General features: G+C 47.0%; 1 protein-coding gene across 4 annotated transcripts in view, besides 2 other annotated features; it reads left to right on the top strand.

Moving 5' to 3' along the window:
- The window catches only part of CYP27C1 (cytochrome P450 family 27 subfamily C member 1), a 36,468-nt gene extending 19,888 nt beyond the window's left edge, over positions 1-16,580 (top strand). For all 4 annotated transcript variants that reach the window (NM_001367501.1, XM_024452838.2, NM_001367502.1 and 1 more), the window contains 5 exons: positions 873-1,036; positions 4,911-5,077; positions 6,545-6,623; positions 7,115-7,318; positions 13,025-16,580. In NM_001367501.1, coding sequence (NP_001354430.1) covers positions 873-1,036; positions 4,911-5,077; positions 6,545-6,623; positions 7,115-7,318; positions 13,025-13,141 — 731 coding nt within the window. In that variant the 3' untranslated portion in view covers positions 13,142-16,580. The remainder of the gene's footprint in view (positions 1-872; positions 1,037-4,910; positions 5,078-6,544; positions 6,624-7,114; positions 7,319-13,024) is intronic.
- Positions 3,165-3,459: a silencer, noted in NCBI's record as "tiled region #1591; HepG2 Repressive DNase unmatched - State 4:PromP". NCBI's record gives its function as "represses a minimal TATA promoter and a strong SV40 promoter by Sharpr-MPRA in HepG2 cells {active_cell/tissue: HepG2}" and the evidence as "EXISTENCE:reporter gene assay evidence [ECO:0000049][PMID:27701403]".
- Positions 16,891-17,447: an enhancer, noted in NCBI's record as "H3K4me1 hESC enhancer chr2:127940541-127941097 (GRCh37/hg19 assembly coordinates)". NCBI's record gives its function as "activates a minimal SCP1, AML or CMV promoter by ChIP-STARR-seq in naive H9 embryonic stem cells {active_cell/tissue: H9 hESC(naive)}" and the evidence as "EXISTENCE:reporter gene assay evidence [ECO:0000049][PMID:30033119]".

Genomic DNA, 26,832 nt, shown 5'->3' with positions numbered 1-26,832 from the left:
TGACTAAAATTTTTACTATAAAAGCATTGCCAAAAATAAAGAAATTATTTTCAAAATGCTTAGAACAATGTTCTAGAGCAATGCTAACACTGAATAAAGTGTTTCATGGTGTCTTTTCAAGATCAATATTTAGGCTGGGTGCAGTGGCTCACGCCTGTAATCCCAGCACTTTGGGAGGCCGAGGTGGGAGGATCACCTGAGGTCAGTAGTTAAAGACCAGCCTGGCCAACATGGCGAAACTGCGTCTCTACTAAAAATACAAAAATTAGCTGGGCGTGGTGGCGCGTGCCTGTAATTCCAGCTACTTGGGAGGCTGAGGCAGGAGAATGGCTTGAACCCGGGAGGCGGAGGTTGCAGTGAGCCGAGATCCTGCCACTGCACTCCAGCCTGGGCCACAGAGCGAGCCTCTGTCTTAAGGAAACAACAACAACCACAACATTTATTTGAATATAGAAGTCCTGAAGTCTGTGCTGTATGGTAACATCCCAGATAATAATGTGTGGCCTTTTCCCCTCCACTCATTTTCTCTTCTGAAAGTGTGGTAGAAAAAAATAAAAGAGTTTGCATTTTGTTACTCATATTATATAAATAATTTATTTGGCTATTGGATTAGTAAAGCAAACATCTGCAAATATCCTACAGCTTATTTTTAAAAAGGAAGATACGTTTAGCTTGTCTTTTAACTTTTCATTCATTTACATAAGCAAGTGTATGAGTGAAACTCCCAGGTTGACGTTAGATAAATTGGGTTTCCTTACCCTCTGTCACCTGCCACTGGTTTAGTTAAGCTACTGGGAGGACAGAGGGCTTTGAGACTGAAAAGATGATTCTCAACCCAAACTCCTTTCAAAAGAAATACTGTTTTCAAACAGGCCAAATTCATGTTGACAACAAGTTGAGGGACATACAGTACCAAATGGACCGAGGCCGGAGGGTGAGCGGGGGACTTCTCACATACCTCTTCCTTAGCCAGGCTCTGACGCTGCAGGAGATCTACGCCAACGTGACTGAGATGCTGCTGGCCGGCGTCGACACGGTGAGTCTGGGGGTCCTGTTCTCAGCAAGCAACACACGATAACCCCTTCCTCATCACCTCATGGACGTTGTCTACTTTTTTGGAGCGGGAGGATGGAGTTTTACTCTATTGCCCAGGCTGGAGTGCAATGGCATGGTCTCGGCTCACTGCAACCTCTGCCTCTCAGGTTCAAGTGATTCTCTTGCCTCAGCCTCCAGAGTAGCTGGGATTACAGGCGCCCGCCACCACTTCCAGCTAATGTTTTGTACTTTTAGTAGCAACGGGGGTTTCACCATGTTGGCCAGGCTGGTCTCGAACTCCCGGCCTCAGGTGATCCACCCGCCTTGGCCTCCCAAAGTGCTGGGATTACAGGCATGAGCCACTGCGACTGGCCGTTGTCTACTTTTAAGGCAGATTTGTTTAGCACACTGTTCATGTTTGTACTAGGCCTGCTGCACTGCTGGGGGGCTCCAGGAGGAGAAAACTCTGTGTATGCAGTCACGCCTCACTTAATGATGCAGATTTGTTCTGAGAAATGCGTTGTTGGGTGGTCCTGTCATTGCGTGAACATCTTAGAGTGTATTTACACAAACCTAGATGGTAGCCTACCACATACCTAGGCTGCACGGTAGAGCCTATTACTCCTAGGCTACACAACTGTACGGAATGTTACTGTACTGAATACTGTGGGCAGCTGGAACACAGTGGTAAGTATGTGTGTATCTAACATACTTAAACATTGGCAAGCTACAGTACAAATGTGGCTTTATAATCTTATGGGATCACCATTGTATATTGGGTCCATCATTGACCAAAACATCACTATACGATGCATGATTGTATATTAAATGTAAGGTGCATAATGATTTCTGTGAAAAGCATAACCAAAATTCCATTAGCACACACACAAAATGATAATAAATGTTTAAAGTTTACAAATCATTCCTGATTTGTAAACATTTTGTCATTGTTTCATAATTTCATACATGAAGAGGGTACAGACATTAAAAACCTTATTAGTTATCATTTAAAATATTCCAGGCCATGGAATTTATTTATAAAGCCAAGAATTCATTTCATTCACTCCCCAATTTGTTCTATAAAGCCAACATAACTTCAAAACCAAAACCTGCTAAAGAGAGTGTAAAGAAAGTAAACTAAAGCAGTTTGGTTGATGAGTGCGTGTGTGTGTGTGTGTGTGTGTGTGTGTATCAACAAATTCCCTGTGAATGGAGCCCAGTAGCATGGCAGATCAATGATACACTGGGACCAGGGAGGGTTCATATCAGAATGAGACAGAGCACTGCCCATTAACCTGGGGGGAACCCACAGGCTATCCGATGGGAAAGGAAGAGGCAGACCAGCATGTATACTGTGTCCTGTGAGTAAGATGCAGCGGCACCGCCCCCTCCCGGCTGTGTGCATCTGCACATCTGTCCGTGACTGTGCGAACACAGAGCAGCGCGTGGAGGGAACACACTAGATAGTTAACATGGGTTTTTGGCTGGCTGGGGGTGGCATGGTCCGGGGGGAATAAGGAGCCAAGTTCCTTTCAAAAGCACATGTGTAATATGATACAATTAATAGGATACGTGTGAAAATGATCGCCGTGTAGGTACAGGTGAAAGCAGTTGTAAAATTTGCTAAAAGGAAATGGCAAAACAGGGAGGAGCTAGGCTGATGCTTTCAGTGGGTGGAAGATAATGAAATTTCTGGCTGGAAACTGGGGAAGCTGCGGGCTGGGGTGCTGCTGGTGGTCGGGTGGAAAGAGAGAATTAAGATTGCGTGACGCTTCGCTGTTTCCAAAGCATTGCACGCACACCCTGCCTGTCTCACAGCTTCCTCTAAGGTAGGAGTCATTGACTTCATTAACAGGTGGGGAAACTAAACAACCAAGCCCATCATCTCAAAGCTTTTCCTTTGCACGGGTGCTTCCCGGCCTTGAATAAGGCACGCCCCGCACAGACCTACATCTTAAAGGGGCAAAAAAGCCTCAAGGCTTTATTTTTATTGTAATATCACTTAAGCATGTAAAAGCGAAAAACAAAACAAAACAAAACAAAAACAAACCCACACAGCATAAACTCCTTATTCTTTTGGATTTTGTGCAACAATAAAACAAAAAGTATATGAACTAAATGCAAACTAAATGATGCAATCAATGAGAATTCTAATTAACTACCTGAATGTGATGGTGTGGATTCGCTCAAATTAAGACACCACTTGAAAGGTGAAGAAATCAATGAATGGCTTCGTCGCTGAGCTTGTGCCTCCTGTCCCCTGGTGGTAACTAAGAACATCACAATGAGGTGGCATTCAGAAGGAAGCTGTTCCTTTTAGCATCCTACAATAGAAGCCAGGGAACAAATTCTTACAACTTCATACTGATTTTTAAAAATTAGTATGATTTTATTGCGGTATAACTTATGCATAGTCAACTCCATTTAAACTGCATAATGCGATACAGATTTTTGACAGATGGAATCATTTATGAAACCACTGCCACATTTTTCTAAACATTGATGAGAATGGAATCATATAGCATGCTGTCTTTTCCATCTGGCTTCCTGCACTCAGAAGAATGACTCAGGTTCATTCATGTGGTGGCATAGAACAGTAATTGATTCTTTTTTATTACTAAGTAGTATTCCATTGTATGGATATACCACATTTTTTCCATAAAAATGTGATCTAAATAGAAATTTTCTATTCTCTTGATAGGAAGCATCTAAGTAATCTTTTATAATTTATAAGACCTTGCACATTATATTATATATACAAGAGGGCTGCCCTCTAAAACACGTGATATCTTCTACAAGAAAATGATATCAATATTGCCTGCTTAAATTAGTTTTTTTTTTTTGGTGAAAGAGAAAGGCCTTTATACTGTGGCATTTCCTTGTTTACTAGAGAGTGAAATGTAGTCCCATAGATGATACTATTGATTTTAGCGAAAATCTTGGGACCTACGAGAATAAAACAATTATTTTCAATAAGTAGAAAGGTTTGAGAAGAGGTATAAAAAATGACATGGCTGACCGGGCGTGGTGGCTCACGCCTGTAATCCCAGCACTTTGGGAGACCCGAGGTGGGCAGATCACAAGGTCAGGAGTTCCAGACCATCCTGGCTAACAGTGAAATCCTGTCTCTCCTAAAAATACAAAAAATTAGCCGGGCGTGGTGGTGAGCGCCTGTAGTCCCAGCTACTCGGGAGGCTGAGGCAGGAGAATGGCATGAACCCGGGAGGCAGAGCTTGCAGTGAGCCGAGATCGCGTCACTGCATTCCAGCCTGGGCGACAGAGCGAGACTCCGTCTCAAAAAAAAAAAAAAAGACACTGCTTTGCATAGACGAGTTATTGACTTGCTCTGTGTGGACCTTACTTGATGAAGGCAGGACACGATGGCTAACTAGTGATCTCCTGTGCACTCCAATCTCTAGATTAGGGCAGCCAGAGTGGGCCGGGCCCAGCATCCTGGGGATGCCGGGGGGCAGCCTGAGGCCCTTTCTGGCACACACCGAGCAAGCCCTGCAAAGAAGGTCACACAAAGTCCCAGCAGATCCTCCAGGCTCCACGGCATCCCTGACATATTGCTCTTCAGTGATTAAAAAAAGCTCCAGGATCATTTTTCCTGTGGCTCTTCATGACAGGAGCACATGAATCATAGAGTCAATGTCACTTGCCAAATACGTTCAGTTATTTATTTATTTATTTATTTGCCATGAATTAAGGAAACAGTCTTTCGTTTTTAGTAAGACATTAGGTGCTATATGGAATTGGATGAGTTTGACTTTGTGCTGTGTGTATTCCCAGGGGACTTCCTACCTGCCACCGCCTCTGTTTCAGTCCCTGGTGTTACTCACTGCCTGCCTGTGTCTGCCACTTTCTCTCCTTAGACGTCCTTCACCTTGTCTTGGACTGTGTACCTCCTGGCAAGGCACCCAGAAGTGCAGCAGACGGTGTACCGGGAGATTGTGAAGAATTTAGGGGAAAGGCATGTTCCAACTGCAGCTGATGTCCCCAAGGTCCCGCTGGTCAGAGCTCTCCTTAAGGAAACCCTGAGGTAAAAGGCTCGCCAGAATCCGTCAACAAACTGTGTCCCTTAGGTCCCTGGTTCTCTATCACAACAAGTCCTCCAAATGCCCCCCCGGCTGACCTGTTCAGGATGAGGATGTTCGTGACTGTTATTTTTTCTCTGCTCTTGTCAGAATAGCAGAAAGACCATTCTGTTTTATGGGTCGACATAATCCTTGTTCTCTGTAAAGATCTTTGGGCCAGGCACAGTGGCTCACGCCTGTAATCCCAGCACTTTGGGAGGCCAAGGCAGATTACCTGAGGTCAGGAGTTCAAGAGCAGCCTGGCCAACATGGTGAAACTGCGTCTCTACTAAAAATACAAAAATTAGCAGGGCGTGGTGGTAGGCACCTGTAGTCCCAGCTACTTGGGAGGCTGGGGCAAGAGAATCGCTTGAAGTTAGGTGATGGAGCCAAGATTGCACCAGTGCACTCCAGCCTGGGCAACAGAGCGAGGCTCTGTCTCAAAAAAAAAAAAAAAAGAAAAAAGATCTTTGGAGCAGTCATTGAATATTGTCCCTGCTTTAGCCAATTGGCTTACTGGGGGTTTCCCAAAATGTTCCTGGGTCAATGGCCTTTGACTTTGTTCCTCTGAAGATAACACGAAACAAGATCGATTTGTTAGGAAAATAGTTTGACCTGTTCAGCTGATTTGCAGACCTGGATACAAACCTCATGGTTCTTGAGTGAATGTTCTCATCTGGGTTTAGACGCCACCCAGTGAGGCTCAATTACTCCCAGACAGGGCTTTCCTGACAAACAGAAAAGCCGGAGGGATGTGGGTTGTCCTGGGTTGAGGGGATGGTTTGGGTAGGAGGTGGGATTAGGGACGGATTACATCCCTTCCCCCAAACACGGCATCCTCTGTGAGGAAATGCTGCGACAAAAAGCAAAGCTTGTTTTCTGCAGTATATACTAAAGAATTCTTTCAAAGCTGACTTGATAATGACCGTCAACCTATATAGCATGCTGTTGAACCTCAAAATTAAAAAAAAAGAAGCAGCTGGCTGTGGGGTTTATTGGTATTTGTCAATTAAAGTTTTATTCAGGGTTTTCTGAGATAATCCGATCGCCGAAGTATCTTTTCTCCAAATGCATTTCATGGGGCCTTAAGTCCTATGAACTATTCCTTGATAAAGTGGTCCCGTGGTCACATAAAATATTAGAAACTTGGAATTTCCCTCCTGGGAACACAATGGCATGTGAAAGGCTTGGCTTTGTGTTTTGCAAATGTTTTGCTTTGGGAGTCTTTTCCACATTCCTCAGAATACTCGCTGGTAAAGCAAGCCAACAAAGAAGCAGCAAAGGTCCTTGCAAAATGTTTCAGTTGAAAATGTACCATGTGTTACTTTTTAAGAATTTTTAATGGAAATGGGAATATATCCAGGGTTCTGAACGTTCAATAAAATACTGTGAAAGTCACCACGCCATTCCCGTCCCCGCTGGCTCTTTTCCAGGCTGTTTCCAGTGCTGCCAGGGAACGGCCGGGTCACCCAGGAAGACCTGGTTATTGGCGGGTATCTGATTCCGAAAGGCGTGAGTTTGGGGCCATGGGGGTGGCCAGGCCTTGCGGGTCGGGGTTGAATTGGAATCTGCTTCTACCTTCAGGAAGTCTTTGTCCCTAAGCAGAGATCAATAGGTTTCCTTTTCTTTTGCATGTATTTTAAGATGAAGATGGGGTGTTGGGAGAAAGGAAGGGAATGGTGTGATCTCACTGCTCTGGAAACTTACTGCTCACCAGCAAGGCAGCCCATGCTCCTTGGCCTGCTCCCCAGGCCGTGTGGAAGTGGCCAGTCACCGCTGGGAGTCTCTGAAGGGCTCGACGGTCTTCTCAGTGGCTGCAGTGACATTTGGGGTGCAGTGTGGAGTGGGAAGGGGGGAGCGGCTGCCATCCTGGGTGTGAGTGGACCCGGGCGGCCCCCAGGCGGGAGCACCCCGGGAGACTGTCCGGCTAGGGCTCTGGGCCCTGCCCTGCTCTTGAGTGATTCTGCCCCTTTTCCCTTTTCTGTCATCCCTGATTTCCTCAGACCCAGCTGGCCCTTTGCCACTATGCCACATCGTACCAGGATGAGAACTTCCCTCGGGCCAAGGAGTTCCGGCCTGAGCGCTGGCTGCGGAAAGGAGACTTAGATAGAGTTGACAATTTTGGATCCATCCCCTTTGGTCATGGGGTTCGCAGCTGCATAGGGCGGAGAATTGCAGAACTGGAGATTCACCTCGTCGTGATCCAGGTAGGGCGTGGAGGCCAAACGTTGGCCTTTGGGTTCGGCCTCTTTCTACTGGGCACAACAGGATAAAGACTTCCAGGTTGAAAAGCAAAGACGGTTTTGGAAACTTAAGATCAAGAGCCGTCAGGCACTGTGGCTCACACCTGTGGTCCCAGCTACTCAGGAGGCTGAGGCGGGAGGCTCACTTGAACCCAGGAGTTCAAGGCTGCAGTGAGCCGTGATCACACCACGGCACTCCAGCCTGGGCGACAGAGTGAGACCCTATCCAAAAATAAGAGCTCTGCATGATATCCTTTGAAAATGCCTCCCCATCTCCCGTGCCCACCCTGTCCTCCAACCGCGTGGCTACACTCTGAGAAACCCTGGAGGTCTAAGCGAGGCCCTGTGGGGATTGGGGACCCCGCCTCCACCTCTAGTGGCCGTGTCTGCAGTTAGGAGCTGGCCTCTCAGGCACCGTCAGCAGCAGCCCCCCCCCCCGGGAAAGGCACAGTGGTGCTCTTGCTGGTCTCCTTTGTTTAACTGACCCAACCATTTACACAGAGCAGTGGTTCTCAAGCTTCTTAGGTTGTGAAACATCAGGAAGCCCTGGGTGTTGTTACAGAACACCTTACATGTGAAGATACATAATTCTGGGTTTGCACCGTATCTGGATTCAGGCTATAGCAGGAACTAAATAACACCTGAAGGAAATTTTATAAAAGTAAAGTCAATGGCGGAGAAAATTCCACCCATTAGCCTCTCCTGCAAGTTGGAGAAGACTGTTTCAGCGACGGGAAACCTTGGCCCGAAGTTTGGGAGCTCCATCGTTGCCTGAACATTTGGAGAATGTGGGGAGTGCCTGGTGACCTCATCTCCCCATTTTACTGATGAGGAAACCGAGGCTCAGAAAGCAACAGCCACTTACCAAGTCCCACAGTGGCAGGTGCAGGGCAGGATCCAGGTGTCTTGACTTTTCCCCTACAAGTCATGCAGGTGCCCCCTCCAGGCTCACTGGGAGACCGGAGCTGGGCAGAAGGGAGAGTAAGGGACCAGGGAAGCCTGGTTGGCTGGGAGGAGGGGTAGAGGGATTCTGGATGGTCAGGCTCAGGGTGGGCACCAGAGCTGGAGAAGGTAAGGGTCTACTGCCCAGGGAGGAGGCACAGAACGAGGTGTGGGGAGAACCCCCACTGGCTCAGGGCTGGCTCTGGAGGCACAGGTGGCCCATGAGACTCTGCTGGGGTGGGGCTGGTGGGACCAAGTGGCCATCCCACCTTTGTGTGGATGTGGCCGCTGCCCCTGTCCCTGGGAGTATGTGAGTGGCAGCTCGATGTGTAGGGGGAGCTCAGGGCAAGCTGGCTTCACCCTCAGTTCTGCCACTTGCTGGCTCCGGGACCTTGGCAGGTTTCTCAGCCACCTGAGCTGAGCCTGTCACGTCATTTACAAAAGGGGCCAAATCCCTGCCTGATAGGTGTGTGAGGAGTAAAAACAGTCCACGTACAGAGTCTGTGCCCAAGAAGTGGAAGCTGTTCTCATCTTCTGAGCCCTGCACTAAGTCTGCTGTGGGGAGTGTTTTCAGGAAGGTCTCAGCTCCCTAAAATGCTGCTGTGCCTCCCGCAGCCACTGCACCCTCCCGAAGGGCATCGGTGAGTTGGGAGGGATGCTTGTTGCCCCCAGGCTCTGGCTGCCTGAAGAACCGGGGTAGACACCTGAGCAAGAGGCCAGCGGTGAAATGGTATTTGGAGCTCGTGATGGGGTCTTGTTTGCTGCTGTCAACATATGAATATAACTGCTAAAGTTTTTGCTTAAAAAGTCCTCATTTCTACCTGGGCAAGTGTAGAAAGGGAGCATCACGGTTTTTATTTTATTTTATTATTTTTTTTGAGTCTTGCTCTGTCGCCAGGCTAGAGTGCAGTGGTGCAATCGGCTCACTGCAACCTCCGCCTCCTGGGGTCATGCAATTCTCCTGCCTCAGCCTCTGGAGTAGCTGAGATTACAGGTGCCCATCACCACGCCCAGCTAATTTTTGTATTTTTAAGTAGAGATGGGGATTCATCATGTTGGCCAGGCTGGTCCCGAACTATTGACCTCAAGTGATCCACCTGCCTTGGCCTCCCAAAGTGCTGGGATTACAGGTGTGAGCCACTGTGCCTGGCCCATGATTTTTTTTTTTTTTTTTCAGAGTCTCACCCTGTCACCCAGGCTGGAGTGCAGTGGCGCAATCTCGGGTCGCTGCAACTCTGTCTCCCGGGTTCAAGCGATTCTCCTGCCTCAGCCTCTGGAGTAGCTGGGATTACAGGCACCTGCCACCATGCCCAGCTAATTTTTTGTATCTTTAGTAGAGACGGGGTTTCACCATGCTGGCCAGGGTGGTCTCGAACTTCTGACCTCAAGTGATCCATCGCCTCGGCCTCCCAAAGTGCTGGGATTACAGGTGTGAGCCAGCACGCTTGGCCCATGATTTTTAATTGTTAAGAAAAAAGCCAGGCACTGTGGCTCACACCTGTAATCCCAGCACTTTGGGAGGCCAAGGCAGGCAGATCATGAGGTCAGGAGTTCGAGACCAGCCTGACCAACATGTGAAATCCCATCTCTACCAAAAATACAAAAATTAGCCAGGCCTGGTGGCGGGTGCCTATAATCACAGCTACTTGGGAGGCTGAGGCAGGAGAATTGCTTGAACCCAGGAGGCAGAGGTTGCAGTGAGCTGAGATCGTGCCACTGCACTCCAGCCTGGGTGACAGAGTAAGACTCTGTCTCAAAAAAAAAAAAAAAAAAGAAAAAAAAAAGAGAAGCCACAAATAGTACCAGGAATGAGCAGGAAGGCACAACTGTATAGACAGGAGTTTATTTTTTTTTAATCAAGAAAATACCTAAAACAGTTTTTTTGCCAATGAATTTGAAGACTTAGATAAAGCATACTGTTTACTAGAAAAAATATAAGTGATCCAAATTGACTCAAATGAAAGAGAACAGACCTAAGATATCGAATCAGTGAGAGCAGATCAAAGAAATGAGTCAGTGGTAAAAAGATTTACCCCTAAATTATCCTGAACCTAGACAGGGTTATTGGCAAGTTTTATCAAACCTTCAGGGAACAGGTAATCATCATCTTATATAAATAGAGAATAGAAAAAGGAAGTCTCATTTTGTGAGACTTGCATAACCTTGATATTCAAACCTGGAAAGGATGATATGGAAAATAAAAACTACAGGCTGGCCTGACTGATTAATAATTGAAGATAGAAAATGTGCAAAATCAACAGTTGGCAGGCTGAATGTATAAAACGGAAAGGCATCTTCACATATCATCAGGTGTATTCAGGAATGCAAGGATGGTCTGCCTAGAGAAAATCTGTCAGTAGAATTCACCAAGATAAAAAGGAGGAAAATTACATGAGCATCCCAAAAGATAATTGATAAAATTCAACCCCAATTAATGAAGAAAGTCTCTTGGCACAGAAGCAACAGTGGAGCCTTTCTTTTTTTTTTTTTTTTTAATTTTACTTTAAGTTCTGGGATACATGTGCAGAACACGTAGGTTTGTTACATAGGTATACATGTGCCATGGTGGTTTGCTGCACCCATCAACCCGTCCACTAGGTTTTAAGCCCCACATGCATTAGGTATTTGTCCTAATGCTTTCCCTCCTCTTCCCCCTATCCCCCTGACAGGCCCCTGTGTGTGATGTTCCCCTCCCTGTGTCCATGTGTTCTCATTGTTCAACTCCCAACAGTGGGGCCTTTCTTAACCAAATAAATGGCGTCTGCCCCAACAGTACAGGAACATGCCTGAAGGCTACTGGGAAGGAAAGGGACAGCTTTCATGGTGTGATATTAATGTGTTCCCTTAAAATCAGGAAAAAGATATTTGATTGAACAGGAATGTTTGGAAGATCCACCCCAGCTCCCTGGGAGCTGGAAACTGGATGTAGGGGGGCGGAGGGGGGGGGCAGTGTTTTTTGTCTTTTGTCTCCTGCATAGTTTTAATTTTTTCAACAAACAAACCACTCAGAAAAGAAAAAATACCGTGTGGCACGATGGCCTTGAAGTTAGGAGACCCACATGTCCACATGTGAGTCTTCCCTCTACCGCATGGGAATGAGCAGGCGTTTCTGAGAGGTCAGCACGAGGGGTCAGAGGTTAGGTGTTTAGGCTGAGCCACCCAGATGCCAGCACATGATGTAGCTGCCTGAAAACATGCTGTTCAGCTCATTTCTTTAATAGTGACAAAGGCATGAGTTCCGCCTGCGTCCCCATTGCAAGACTTGACCCTTGAGCCTTGGTGCCCTGTCTGACTCTTAATTATTTAAAAGAGATACCTTAAAGAGATAATCGCTTTAGGGTGATGGATACTTTGGTGTTCTTTCAAACTCACTGTGTAGGTACATTCCAGTTTTACCCTGGGAGGCAGGGCTGGTTCTGCTTTTGAACTATAGAAATGAGAGATGGAATCAAAGGTACGAACCAAGATCAACAATCTCATCATTCATTCCTTTTTCATTACTATTCACTATTACCAGCACAAGTGATTGTAAATTAGGCTCTGAGGAGAGCTCTACCTCTCCTTTCAATAGTGTTAGAGGCCGAGAGTGGTGGCTCATACCTATAATCCCAGCACTTGGGGAGGCGGAGGTGGGAGGATCGTTGGAGGTTAGGAGTTCAGGAGCAGCCTGGGCAACAAAACGAGTCTTTGTTTCTATGAAAAAATTAAAAAGTTAGCCAGATGTGATGCATGCCTGTAGTCCCAGCTACTGAGGAGGCTGAGGTTGGAGGATCACTTGAGCCCAGGAGGTTGAGGCTGCAGAGAGCTGTGATCACGCCATGGGGTCCCAGCCTGGAGCCCCAGCCCATTCTGGGTGCAGCTTCTTTGCCTGGGAGACAAAGCTGGACAGAGAGGAAGGGCAGGGCGGGGACAGCCTGGGCGCTAAGTAGGAGACTATGGTATTGCCAGCTCATCTGCCCCCTGCCCTTTCCAAATGGGCTGAAAGCAAGGTCCCTCCTCCCCCCAGGAGCCTGTCCGTGGACAGAAGTCTTTAGAGCAGGTTACCTGTATTCCTAAGCCCAGGGCTGACTTTGAACTCCAAACCCTAGCCGGCCGCCGGGGGAGATAATTGCTTTAGGTGTTCTTTCAAACTCACCGTGTAGGTACATTCCAGTTTTACCCTGGGAGGCAGGGCTGGTTCTGCTTTTGAACTGTAGAAATGAGAAATGGAATCAAAGTTACGAACCAAGAATATTTAAATTCAGGATAGTAGCACGATGAAGTCTTTCGGAGGATTCAGCTCTCTCCGCCTCTGTTTCTGGCCGGGTCTGAAGTGTCTGCAGTTTCAGAACCAGCAGGAAACCCGGAATTTCACTTTGTTCCGCATTTCCCCCTGCTCCTTTGATGCCTTCTTCATCTAGACCTGCAATGGAAGCAAAAGAGTTAGAATTTGAAATGGCAAGTGAAACTTAAGTCATCTGAGCATCTGCCTGCATCTCTGTCCCACCGGCTGCCCAGCTGCTTAGTGGACATGCCTAGGCTCTGGTACGGGATCTAAAGTTCTGTTTCCAAACAGCGGGCTTCCCACTGACCTGGAGGTTCTGTAGCCTCCAAAAGCTGGATGTGGGTGCTCATTGCCTGCGCTCTCTGCAGCCCAGTGCCGCCACAGGAAGAGTAAAAGCATTCAGGGAGCACTGAGAATTTTCTGCTGTTCCAATTCTGACCCCTTCTCTCTCTTTCTCTTCTTAGTTGCTTCAACATTTTGAGATCAAAACATCTTCTCAGACCAATGCTGTTCATGCAAAAACCCACGGGCTCCTGACGCCAGGGGGGCCCATCCACGTGCGATTTGTTAACAGAAAGTAAGCCTAGATTTTAAACCTGGGCTGATGTAGCAGACCAGCTCGCCGACACACAGTGGGTATTTGTGTTCGCTGATCACCGTGGAGAAGGAAAGCGATGTCGCTAAAGGCTGTCTTGTTATAGACTGGCCTCCCAGGTCCTGGGACACTTGTAAATCTTTATGCAAAGTAATGTAAAAAGGTTGCTATTTTACTGGTGCATACCAGAAGTTGCCCTTTCTTTGGGGGAAACAGCTGTTTAAAAACCAGTGGCAGTGAATTTTTATGCTTCATACATTGTGCTAGACTCAATATTTAATGACTGGCAGTATCCTGTGCATTTACTTGTACAGGGAAATGGTGGTTTACTTACAAATTCAGTTCTTCAATATATGTTCTCTAATACTGGCATCTGGGCTCAAATTGCCATCAACAGTAAGTTGAAGGCAATTTCAACTTACTGTTTCTAATTTGAAGAGGGAACATTAAGAATGCCTCTGTAATACTGTAATTATGGGAAGAAAGCACCAGAGGCAACATTTTATCCTGAGCACCAGATTTAGATCCTGTTAAAGGGCTCAAACTTAAAAGGGCTGGCCGGGTGCGGTGGCTCACGCCTGTAATCCCAGCACTTTGGGAGGTCAAGGTGGGAGGATTGCTTGAGCCAGAAGTTCGAGACCAGCCTGAGCAACATGGTGAAACCCTGTCTCTACCAAAAATACAAAAATTAGCCGGGCGTGGTGGTGCACACCTATGGTCCTAGTTACTCGGAAGACTGAGGCAGGAGGATCGTTTGAGCTCAGGAGGTTGGGTCTGCAGTGAGCTATCTATGATGGCACCACTGCACTTCAGCCTGGGTGACAGAGTGAGACCCTTTCTCAAAAATAAAATAAAATAAAATAAAATAAAATAAAATAAAATAAAATGGCTGTATAAGAATACTTTTCTCTCCACAACGAGTGCTTAATTTTCTAGTCATAATGCCTAATGAAGTTGACTATTAGTTTTTATTTGGAAGAAATAAATAATAAATAAATAATAAATAAATAAAAAAGAAAGCTCCTGGTGAAATCAAGAATAATCAGATTTTCTAACCAAATCTAAATACAGAGTAGAGCAGACGTATAAGAACTGGAAATATGATGACGTAAAATTTTGTTGCCTAAGTTGTGAGAAGTAATAAAACAGGCAGCATGGAAAACAATGTAACTTTAGAACATTTTTATTTCAAGGGAAAATAAATACATAAATAGAGATGCTACAGATACAACAATATTTTTATCTTGATGGTGTTGTTTTAAATATCCACACAAGAACCCTCACCCAGTTGTGTGCCTGTGCCAGGCTCTCTGGGAAGCCGTGGCTCCGGGAGTGCTGGGTCCTGAGGAGTTCTGTTGCCTTTCCTGCTGCTCACCGGTTGCTAAGAGGAAACACCGTGATTTCCTGATGCTCTTGCCTTGTCATCATGCCTGAAACAGCTTATTCCCAATTCTGTAATTCCTTTTACATAATCCTTCTCCAAAAATTACTTTCTTACTAATATAGACCATACAGTTTTTTTTCCATTTAGTAAGTCACTCTGCAAAATAACCCTTAAGTAAATAGACATAATATCCATTTCACATACCATTTTTGTTAAAGTATATAATAAAGTTGAAATCTCTGTGTGGTAGCAGAATAACTCTAGTATGAATGCTGTAAATGTACAGGTAAATGTGAAATTAGGTCATATTAACTGGCCAAGTGTTGGATTGATTACTTTGAGGTAGCAGTATACGTATATTAAGTTTTATAAACTAGATGAAATTGCATTCTGTTTGAGACTGAAATTTAAAAATATTGAGAATAACTAAGCGACTTGAAGTGACCTCTTATTCCCTGGGTATACATACAGTGTGACCCTCTCGTGAAGTGTGGCTCTGCCTGGGGATCAGCACAGGGTGAATAGCAAAGTGCGGGCTGGGGGTAGCACCTGTGCCCGCTGCTGAGTCTCACTGAACAGGAAGGGAAGCAGCCAGACACGGGGGCCTCCTGGTGTGATGTAGCAGGAAGTGCAGGGCGCCACCCAGGAAGCATCCACGCCAAAGAAATGGAGATTCAGCTGGACAAGTTTCTAGGTTCGCTACTGGTTTATAGGAAATATGTGGTATACAGGGAGATGTCAAAACTCCATGGGGGCTGGGCGTGGTGGCTCACACCTGTAATTTCAGCACTCTGGGGAGGTTGAGGCAGGAGGATTGCTTGAGGCCAGGAGTTTGAGACAAGCTTGGGCAACACAGTGAGATCCTGTCTACTAAAAATCAAAAAACTTAGCTGAGTGTGGTGGTGCATGCCTGTAGTCCTAGCTATTTGGGAGGCTGAGGCTGGAGGATTGCTTAAGTCTGGGAGGTTGAGGCTGCAGTGAGCTGTGATCCGCCATTACACTCCAGCCTGGGTGACAGAGCAAGACTTCATAACAAACAAACACACAAACAAACTCCATGGGGATGCAGTCAGCAAAATCCAGAATAGAGTGAGGTCTATAGGACCAATGTCTCGGGTTTCCAACAAAACAAATACGTGACAGGCAAAAAACAAGAGGAGGGGCCAGGCGAGGTGGCTCATGCCTGTAATCCCAGCACTTTGGGAGGCCAAGGCGGGCGGATAACCTGAGGTCAGGGGTTCCAGACCAGCCTGGCCAACATGGTGAAACCCCATCTCTACTAAAAATACAGAAATTATCCAGGCATGGTGGCGGGCTTCTGTAATTCCAGCTACTTGGGAGGCTGAGGCAGGAGAATTGCTTGAACCTGGGAGGCAGTTTGCAGTGAGCTGAGATCACGCCACTGCACTCCACCTGGGCAACAAGAACGAAACTCCGTATCTAAAAAAAACAAAAACCAAAAAGCAAAAAAAAAACCAAGGGGAGAGGAGAACTGTTACAGATGAAGCAATATAGGAGACATATTAACCAAGTACAATGCTGGACTTCGTTTGAATCAGATTCAAATAAACCACTTGTAAAAAGACATTTAAGAGATAATTTTTAAAAATAAAATAAAAGCCAAAAATATTAATTCTTCCAATGCATGAAAAAAAGAGAGCAACTCGGGGAAATTTGAATGCTGACTGTGTGTATTTGATGATATTTGGGAATTACTGTTAATTTTTTTGTTGTGATAATGGTAGTTATGTTTTAAAAAAAGAGACTTTATCTCTTGGAGATAGCTCTTAAAGATATAAATGTTTATGGCTGAAATGTTATGGCATCTTGGATTTGCTTTAAAATAACCCAGCTTGCTGCAGGAGGTGGGTATTGTGTGTGTGGGAAGGTGGGGAGGCTGCGGGAGGAAGAGATGACCCAAGATTAGGCAGATGTTGTTAACTGTGGAAGCAGGGTGGTGAGTGGGGGCTCATGACATTATGCTCTCTACTTTGTGTACGTGTGAACATTTCCGTAATAAAAGATGCCTTCAGAAACAAAAGACTGATCAATAATCTCATCATTCATTCATTTTCCATTACTATTTGCTTTTACCAGCACAACTGATTGTAAATTAGGCTCTGCGGAGAGCTCTACCTTCCCTTTCAATAGTGTTAGAGGCCGGGCGTGGTGGCTCATACCTGTAATCCCAGCACTTGGGGAGGTGGAAGTGGGAGGATCATTGGAGGTTAGGAGTTTGAGAGCAGCCTGGGCAAACAAGGTGAGTCTCTTTCTACAAAAAAATTTTAAAAATTAGCCAGGTGTGATGCATGCCTGTAGTGCTAGCTACTGAGAAGGCTGAAGTGGGAGGGTCTCTTGAGCCCAGGAGGTTGAGGCTGCAGAGAGCCGTGATCACACCATAGTACTCCAGCCTGGGTGACAAAGTGAGACCCCCATCTCTTAAAAAAAAGGGGGGTTGGTTAGAAATGATTGACTTAACACACTGCAATAGTACAATGGTTGTGCTAGGGTTTAGGGGACCTGTTGGGGCCCAGGTAGCCTTTGCAGCTGAGAAGGAAAGACAGACAAGTCAGATAGCAGGAAGAAAAGGAGAAGTGGTCCCAGCAGGGGCTTAAATGGGTCAGACCACAGGGTATGACAGCAGGGGGTGGTGGGGCCCATGGGGGCACTCCCTGCCTGAAGGTTTTCAACCTCCAATTTTAAGAATGTGCTGGGCAAATGAAAGGGCTCACCTGCTGGTCAGGTCTGGGAAGCTGGCCGGGGTTCATGAGCGAGCCAAGGGCCCAGCACAAGCAAATGCCAGCGTGAGGCGGCTCCACAGCCCCTTCCCGGCAGAGGCAAGCACACCCATCAGGAAGGTGGGGGACCAGCACAGAGACAGCAGAGCCATTTAGGTGAAAGTAAAAAGGAACTTATCAGAGGGACACTGGGCATTTGTCAAATGGAAGGACCAGCAGACCAGCCAAGCATCAGCCAGGGCCATCCAGGAATCTTAGCTCAGGATCTGGGGCCTCCCCAGCTCCTGGCTCATGTTTCTGTGGCTCTCCTGAGGGGCTTGGCCTGTGATGGACAGGTGCTCTGACAAAAGCAGGAGGGCTGCTGAGCTGGCAGCCACAGGAGTCCACTGGCCAGCATCGCCAGTTGCTGGGCCGCACGTCCTCTCTCCCGTGTGTCCTCTTTCCCTTGGGGTCCCTGCACACCTGTGTGTCATTTCTAGCCCCTCCCTCCTCCACCTCCGATGAAGACTTGGGCTATTCAGAATACTTTTTTTTTTTTTTTTTTTTTTTGAGACAGAGTCTCGTTCTGTGGCCCGGGATGGAGCACAGTGGCACCATCTTGGCTCACTGCAGCCTCTGCCTCCCAGGTTCCAGTGATTCTCCTGCCTTAGCCTCCCCGCATAGCTGGAATTAAAGGTGTGTGCCACCAAGCCCAGCTAATTTTTGTATTTTTAGTAGAGACAGGGTTTTACCACATTGGCCAGGCTGGTCTCAAACTCCTGATTTCATGTGGTCCGCCCACCTCTGCCTCCCAAAGTGCTGGGATTACATGTGCGAGCCACTGCACCCAGGCTCAATACATCTTAGGTCACTTCCTGGAAAGAAAAAGTTCTCCAGTGACTTTTAGCCACTGCCACACTCTCATTTAATAATGAAAACATGCAGTCCTGTGTAAAGAAAACTTTGCTTAAAGCTGAGCATCTCTCCTCCCTCAGCTCAGGGCGGTGGAGGCTGGATGCCAGCAGGGCTGGGTGCCGTTGACCTCTCTGTTTCCTGCCTTGCCCTACCCCACTCCCACCCTAGGCTCTCAGGCTCCTCTGGTTTGGAGCTGGGGGAGGAAGAGGAGTTGGGGTGGGACAGGAGCCACTTGACTGATGCCTCGGAGACTTGGCCTGAGCCTCTTCAGCCTGGGCAGACACAGATGCAAAATGGACCCTCCCTCCTGGGGGTTCTTTCTCAGGGCTTTTCCCAAACAGGGAGTCTCCAACCAAACTTACCAAGAAACGGGCAGTGCCTCTCCACCAGGCAGCTTCTTATGACTGCCGGTCAGCCTTGGGCATCCAGGGTCCACTTCTGCTTGGGAGCTAGGCCCCTCCAAGTGCTCCTCCAGGGCAGAACCTAAAACCCTCCCGCTGACTCCCTTGTGTCCCACACTCTCCCCACCAAAGATTGGTGATTGGAAATGGGAGGTCTGGTCACCAGTCTTTCCTAGTCATTTACAGAACAAGAACAATGAAGAGAGAGTGGTACTATAATCTAAGCATCAGAATTGCAAACAGGCAGTGTGACTCAGTCTCGGGGCTCAACTTCTCCCTTGGCATAATACATTTAGAGGGTCCTAAAATTTTATTTTCTTTTGCAATATAAATAGTGTCATACTGTATCATTCCACAACTTGCTCCCTCAATCATTTTAAGTGATTTATTCATGTTGCTACAAGTGAATCTGCTTCTTTAATTTTAACTCTTCACAATATTTCTTGATATTAATATAGCACTATTTACTTACCCATATTCTTGGAAGAAGCCTTTTTAACTAACACTTCCTTTTATTATAACTACTATTATTTTTATTATACTTGTATAGAGGAAAACTTCAAACAACCACAAAAATAGAATAATGAACCACAATGTATCCAACCTCAAAATTTTTAACACCTCATTTCCAGTCCAGTTTCATTTCATCACATCAGTATATATCTCTAAAACATATGGATTCTTTTTTTAAAAAAAAACACGTAATACCATAAAAATAGCTAAAAATTTATCAATGATGCATTATAATTTTCAAATATCCAATCAGCATTCAAATTTTCAATTGTCTCATAAATATAAATTTTGAAGTAGTGTGAATCTATTCAAATAATGTTTATTCCTTGAGATGGACTGATTTGTCTCTTAAGTATCTTTTAAGGTTCTCCCTCTCTCCCTCTCTTCCTGTGTCTTTCTTAAATTTTTTTCTTGCAGTTTATTTCTTGAAGAAACTGAATTGTTTTTCCTGCAGAATTTCCCACAATCTGAATGTTGCTGATCTCGTTCCTGTGGTATCATTTAGCATGTTCTTCTATCCCCTGTTTTTCCTGCATATTTGTAGTTAGATCTAGAGGTTACCCTCATTCTAAAATAATTTAGTTGAGTATAGAACTCCATATTAGTGGTTATTTTCTCCCGGCACTTTGAAGATATTATTCTGTTGTCTTTAGACTTTGGTTATTGCTATTGAGAAGTCTGAGGTCATTCTATTCTCACTCTGTAGGCAATTTATCATTTCTGTCTGGCTGTCCTTGCTCTTGGTCTTGAAGTTCTCCTATTTCATAAATTTTAATTATTTTACTTACAGCTCATAGAAAAACCTCCCTGAATTAGAAGATGCATATCCTTCATCAATTCTGGAAAATTCTCAGCCATTTTTTTCTTGAGTATTGCTTTTCTCTGTTGTCTTCATTTACTCATTTAGGAGTTTCTAGTAAACTGGAACTGGATCTTCTGTCTTCATTCTCTGATTTTTATCTTTTCTTTCAAACTTTTCACCTATTTATGTCTCTTGAGTGGCATTCTGGGAAATTTCTTCAATCTAGTTTCCAGTTCACTATTGCTCTTTTCAGCTATATTTAATCTGCTACTAAACATGTCCATCATTTCAATAATTGTTGTTTTCAATTCTATAAACACTATTTGGTTCATTTTCAAACAAGCCTGGTCTTTATCTTAACAATGTCTTGCTCCTGTATCATCCCTTGACTCCTTTTATCGAACGACTGTAAGCATACTTATTTTATAATCCACCTCTGTGTGTTTTGTTGTTTGGAGTTCCCAGGAGTTGAGTTCTTTGGTGCACTGTTGCTTGGACTGTTGCTCACCATGGCTTGTTTCCTCATTTGCTTTGTGGTTTTGGGGCATGCGTCTCTGTTGGTGGAGCTTTACTTGTAGAACATGTGCAGCCCAGACTGAGGGTATGTTCCTCAAAGGAGCTTTGGATTTGCTCTTGCCAGACACCCCAGGGGTGTTAACAGCTTGAAATTGCTATTTTCTTATTATTTCTCAACAGTGGGATTCCTTGACAATGCTTTCAGGCAGGCCTGAGGCTGTGCATTCTCATGGAAACATTTTGAGACAATCTGAGACAGACATAGTCTTTTGTGGCCACTTTTGGTCAATGAACAGATTTTTATTTATTCTCCGAAAGTATAGCCCTTTGATGATCCTCTTTGTGGGGTGGCCTTGTTTCTAACTCCCCTCCTCTGGGCCTGGGCCACATTGCTTGCCTTCATGGTTAGTGAAAACAAGCCCTTTGGAAACTGCTAGCCTCCCCATCCAAGGCAGCCAAAGTGTCAGCCACACTTATACGTTTTTGATTTTCAGTTTTTTCTCGGTGGTAGGTAGAGTAATGCCCCCTGCCCCAAAGATGCCCACATCCTAGTCTCCAGAACCTGAGAATACGCTAGATGGCATGCAAATTGCAGATAAAATTACCATTGCTAATCATTTGATTTAAGATGGAATGATTGCCCTGGATTATCAGAGTGGGCCCAGTGTCATCACAAAGTTTCGTACAAGTGAAAGAGAGAGGCACAAGAGAGTCAGAGGAGATCTGATGACAGAAGAATGGCCAGAGATGCACCGCTGCAGACTCTGGAGATGGAGGAAGGGGCCACAAGCCAAGGAATGTCAGTGGCCCCTAGAAGTGGAAAAAGCTATGGAAATGGATTTTCCCTTAGGGAATGCAGCCCAGTGAGACCTGCGTCAGATGTCTGACCTCCAGAGCTGTAAGATAGTAAATTTGCGTTATCTCAAGCCACTAAGATTATGGTGATTTTTAAATGGCAGGATAGAAAAATAACACACTCTCTAACATATTTGGCCTTCAGTCTTTTTACTTTTCTGTGGACTCGTGCATGCATTTAGAGGGACACATACTTTATCCAGCATGTCTAGGTGTTTTGTAGTGGGAGATTTTAATACCTCAGTCTACCGTATTGCTGCAAACAGAAGCTGTGCCTTAATTTTAGAAAGATGCCTAATATCTTTCATTCTCAGGCTTTTTGTTTGTTTGGGTCCTTCTGTTGTGTTCCTCTTTCTCAATCCACTAATAGTTTTCATCATGAAGTATAAAGAATGAGGGGAAGAAGGACCCCAATGTCTCACACGAGACACCTTTTGGGACAAACGTAGATTTAGGCAATGAAGCTTGGATAGGAATGATCTTGATGGGCCAGGTGTGGTGGCTCACGCCTGTAATCCCAGCACTTTGGGAGGCCGAGGCAGGTGGATCATCTGAGGTCAGGAGTTCAAGACCATCTTGCCCAACATGGCAAAACCCCATCTCTACTGAAAATATAAAAATTAGCCCGGTGTGGTGGCATGTACCTGTAGTCCCAGCTACTCAGGAGGCTGAAGCAGGAGAATCACTTGAACCCAAGAGGTGGAGGTTGCAGTGAGCAGAGATCGCGCCATTGCACTCCAGCCTGAGTGACAGAGTGAGAATCTGTCTCAAAAAAAATAAAAAAATAAAAAAATTAATAAAGGAATGATCTTGATGGGTCCCGGGATCTGTGCAGCCCACAAGGACCCTGCCCCAAAGCACCACACTGTGTGTCTCTTGGGATGAAACACAGCAGAGGAGGAGATATTTTAGTCACTGCCAAATGCTTTGTTTTATATACAGGCTCTGATTTATAATTTAGCTCTTATATAATAAACACTTTCCAATAGAACTATACTTAGAACCGCACTGGCTTGTTTCATCTCGGTCTCTCTGCCGAGGGCCCAGATCTGCTGTGGCCAATGCGTGGATGTGGACAGTGGATCAGGAGGCTCCGCAGAGAGGGCTGCACCATCAAGAGAGCCCTGTCAGCCTCAGGACGGTGTGGCACCACCACCGCGATACGCCAGGGACGTGGCGTGGGTTTTAAATGTCAGCTATGTGGTAGGCAATTGTGTTGATAGCACCACATGTGGATTTCTAAATTACAGACTTAGTGAAAACCTAGGATCACCATGTCACTTCCAGAGTGTCTCCTGGTCCCCTCAAGTCTGAGTCATGAATGTCGTACGTGGGATTGGAGCAGCCACGGCAAGTGGGCACCCTCCAGGGACCCCCAAAGACTTCTGAAATTGCCTTCTGTGTGGGGGGGAAATGTGGCCAGAATGTATTTCGCTTATAGCCAAGCTTTTAAAAAGAAAGCAACAGCAACAAAGTGTGTGGGCTTTTAGTAGACATAGAGAGAAGGAGAAGTAACACCCTGTCAGGATGTGGAAGCCATTTCCATCAATAGATGATTCCAGAGGCGCACGGCGGGGGGTGGGGGGGTTCCCTGAGGAGACAACACCCAGCAGCTCTGCCTCTGGAGGCCGTGTGGAGAGCACGGGGAGCACCATCCCAGCATCTGCACTGTGGGCACAGGAGGCTGCTGGAACCAGAGACCCGGATCTGCCCTTGTTATTGTCCCGAACGTCGCTGCTGGACTGTGCATCCCCAGATGCTTCATTCCCTCACCCTGCCTGAAGCTCCCAAAATGAGTAGCAGGACACGTGGAGTCCTCTGGGCTTCTGATGCAGACAGACAGGGCCGGCGTCCGTCCAGTCCTCCATGCTGTCTAGCGCTTGGCTTTGGCAAGCACTCCAGGGCCCTGAGGTCTTTCCTTAAAGACCAGGGATAGCCACAGCCATTCTGCTTGATAAGGATTGGATGTGCTCATGGACACACGGCCTCTGGCACATAGCTGGGCCTCCGTAAAGGGTGCCTCTCTGCGTATCTGCCTCACACTGTTGATGAAGCAGCCTGCCGCAAAGTGACCGCCCAGCCCTATTGCAGTGCATTTAATCCGAGGGTGGGGAAATGGTTTCAGTTCTGAGCCCCAGTTTAGTGGGGTTCCAGGAAGTCATCAGGGAAGCGAGGACTGGAATCATGTGCCCATGAAGGATTGCACCATTACAGAAGGGAGTGCAGATTGGGGAAAATGCAACAGAAGCGGAAATGAAGTCCAGGTCACAGTGGGGACACATGTGGCATGGTGTGCAGGCTTGGGTGTAAATCCTGGCTTCCTCGCTGACAAGCGGCAGGACTTTCTCAAGCGGCTGGACCTCGGTGCCCCAGGCTCTCCAGCTGATGACTACACCGACCTTACACCGACCTCTTGGAGTTGTCCTGGGGTGGTGCCTGGCCCATGGGAAGAACGTTGGGCCTGTTTGCACCACCACTCTCTCTGAGCTGGCTTCCCTCCCTCCTCCCCATCTACACATCTTTTCTCTATCTCAGAGCCTCTGCCGACTGAGCCTCCTCCGACACAGCTCCTTTCTTTCCGTGCTTCTTCCCTTATGCTCCTGACTGCTCCCCGGGGCTTCTGTCTCCGCCTCCTCTCAGCTGTGTTGGAGCCGCTCAGCTCTGCCCCTACCCGGCCGTGTGCTGGCACTGGTTCATGCCACGCTGGCTTGAGGGAGCTGATGGTTCTGTTTTAAGCGAGCATTGAAACAGTCGTGGCAGGACTGTTTACACGATGGAAATCAGTAAGCACTGTTTCGGTGACGTCTGGGCCACACTTCACAGGTTAAGGACACAGTCCCCGTAAGACTGTCTTCCTACAGACTCCAGCCACAAGTTTGGTGGCAGGTCACCCTTGGGTGGCTACAAATTCAGGAATCGGGGTTTGGTAATTTACTGGATAATTTACTGGAATGACTCAGGGAACTCAAGAAAGCACGATGCTTAGGATTACAGTTTTATTATAAACACAAAGATACAAGTCAGAACCAGCCGAAGGGAAAGATGCATGAGTGAGGCCTGGGAGTGTCCCAAACACGAAGCTTCCGTCATTCCCAGACACGACTGTCTTCCCGCACATTGTGTGTGACGGTGCACAGAGTGCTGTCGCCCAGGGAAACTCACCGGAGCTGTGACGTCTGGAGTTCTTACTGGGTTTCATTATGTAGGCGTGGTTGATCGGATCACAGCTCACGGGACTTCATTTCGAGCCCCTCTCCCTTAGCCCGGGTCAGGCTGACATCTCAAAGCCCCAACCCTCTCCTTACACGGTTGGTCTTTCTGGCCTGGTGGCCCCCCATCCTGAGTTACCTTGCTAGCATAAACCATGGGCTGTAGCTCAAGGATCCACCATGAATAATAAGGGTTTAGAGGCAACCTCCCAGGACCTAGGGACAAGGACCAGCCAAACTGTCAATTACACAGCTACGAATCAGCGTCCACTGCCCCTCCCCTGTGTTTCCATTCCTGTCTCCGAGAGCAGGCCCCGGACAGGCCAGACTCATCTTTTCCTAGCATGCAGCATCACGAACTCTAACAAGCCTCTGGCCAGGTGCCACCCCGCCCAAGCTGCTGGAGAAAAATTCACCCTTTGCCTCTCCTCCCATGGGACCTGCCCTTCTCTTCTGCTCCCCTACCCCGCATTTAGTGACCTGAATCTCTGGCTTTCTATTTGTCCTTGCCAAATGTTATCTTTGCTGGTTTTAGCCTGTTCTTCCTCCTGTTGGATCATTTTTATATCCTGGATTTGTTAACTCAGACATGGAATGACTGCATCGTGCTGTTCACAGTTTTGGCAACTGCAGTTCCCATGTTTATGTAAGTCATTTGCAAGACCCTCCGTAATCAGTTGCTACAGCCCTCCCAGCCTCTGGACAGGGGTTTGAGCCTGTTGTTAATACATTGTCCCTACACTTCACTGCTCTCAGCCCTCCTCCTTGCCGAGTCTCCCAGGCCTCACACGTGCCTAGAGGATGTCTCCAGGGTTACTGCTCCCAGACCACGTGTGCAGGCCCCACCCACTGGCAGCTCCCACAGCCCAGGGCATCCCTGCCTTGCACAGTGAGACCTGTCGTCTCTGCCTTAGACGGAGCTCGGTGGAGCTCTCCTGGGTTTGGTGCAGAAGCAAAAAGGAGGCTCCTCTTTCCCACCCTGAGTCTATCTTGTCTCCTCACCCCCTGTCCTTGAAAGGAAGGCGTAGACACCTTTCCTCCTCTCCACCTCTGCCCTAGGGACTTGCACACACTTTTCCTCAAGAGCCTTCTCTGGGGACTTCTCTGGCTGCACTTGCCCACCGCCTTTAGTTTCGGACAACCACAGCTGAGGAGTGCCGCCTTTTGCTGGGGCTTGCTGTGTCCCAGGGACATTTTCCTCCTTTCTGTCTCTCAGTCTTCACCACAGCTCCCTGAAATACTGTTTTTACCCCCTGTTTTTAGATAAGAAAACAGAGGCTTGGAGATAGTAAAAGCTCACTCAAAACCGTCATGAGCATACATCACAGGTCTAGGTTTGCATCCAAGCGGTCCACACATTCAACAGGTGTTTAGTGAACACCTATTGTATGCTGTCTGCCTCTGGAGCCCTCGTGCCTTCTACACCACCTGCCGCCTCTCATGCTGCTGAGGACCCAGGACTGGTGGGAGTGCCAGGTGGGAATGGGAGGGGGTGGGTGGGTGCCAGGGCTCTAGTAGGGGCACAGGGTGGGGGGGCGCTCACTCCTCCTGTCCCCCACTAGATGGGGCTGCTTGGTTGGACATCTCAGGCAGTGCTGGGTCAAACTGTCCGTCCACACCTTGTGGGCTTTAGGGCCCTTCTCTAAGCCCAGGGATGTCCAGCCTGCCCGGAGAGCACTCAAGAATGACCAGGAAGCTACCCAGAGGGGTTCCCACATCATGCTGGGATGTGGAGGGGACTGGAGCCCGAGGGGACTTGGAGGCCCCCTGACTCATGACCTACATTTTCATTTCTCAGAAGTTGCAGCTATGGAAGGTTCTGGAAGGTTGATGGCCCACGAAGACACAGGAGGATGGACCCCAGAGGCAGTTTCTATGAACAGAGACATGCCTGGAACTGTGGGGTTCATATTTAGTTAACATTTTTTTAAGTTTAAAATTTTTAAATTTTGTGGATTCATAATAGCTGTACATACTAGTTTTCTCCCTGCAAACTTAATTTTGAAAAATTGCTAGCCTACAGAAAAGTTGAAAGCATAGTACAATGAACACCTGTTTATCTCTCACCTGGAGCCACTACTTGTTAATATTTGGTCAATTCGGCCGGGCGCAGTGGCTCACGCCTGTAATCTCAGCACTATGGGAGGCTGAGGAGGGTGGATCACCTGAGGTCGGGAGTTCAAGACCAGCCTGACCAACGTGGAGAAACCCTGTCTCTACTAAAAATACAAAATTAGCCGGGCGTGGTGGTGCATGCCTGTAATCTCAGTTACGGGGAGGCTGAGGCAGGAGAATCACTTGAACCCGGGAAGCGGAGGTTGCGGTGAGCTGAGATGATGCCATTGCACTCCAGCCTGGGCAAAGA

The sequence above is a fragment of the Homo sapiens genome, chromosome 2, assembly GCF_000001405.40.
Source record: "Homo sapiens chromosome 2, GRCh38.p14 Primary Assembly".
Lineage (NCBI taxonomy): Eukaryota > Metazoa > Chordata > Mammalia > Primates > Hominidae > Homo > Homo sapiens.
The sequence above is the reverse complement of the archived record's forward strand: the minus strand, read 5'-3'. Positions and strand labels throughout refer to the sequence as shown.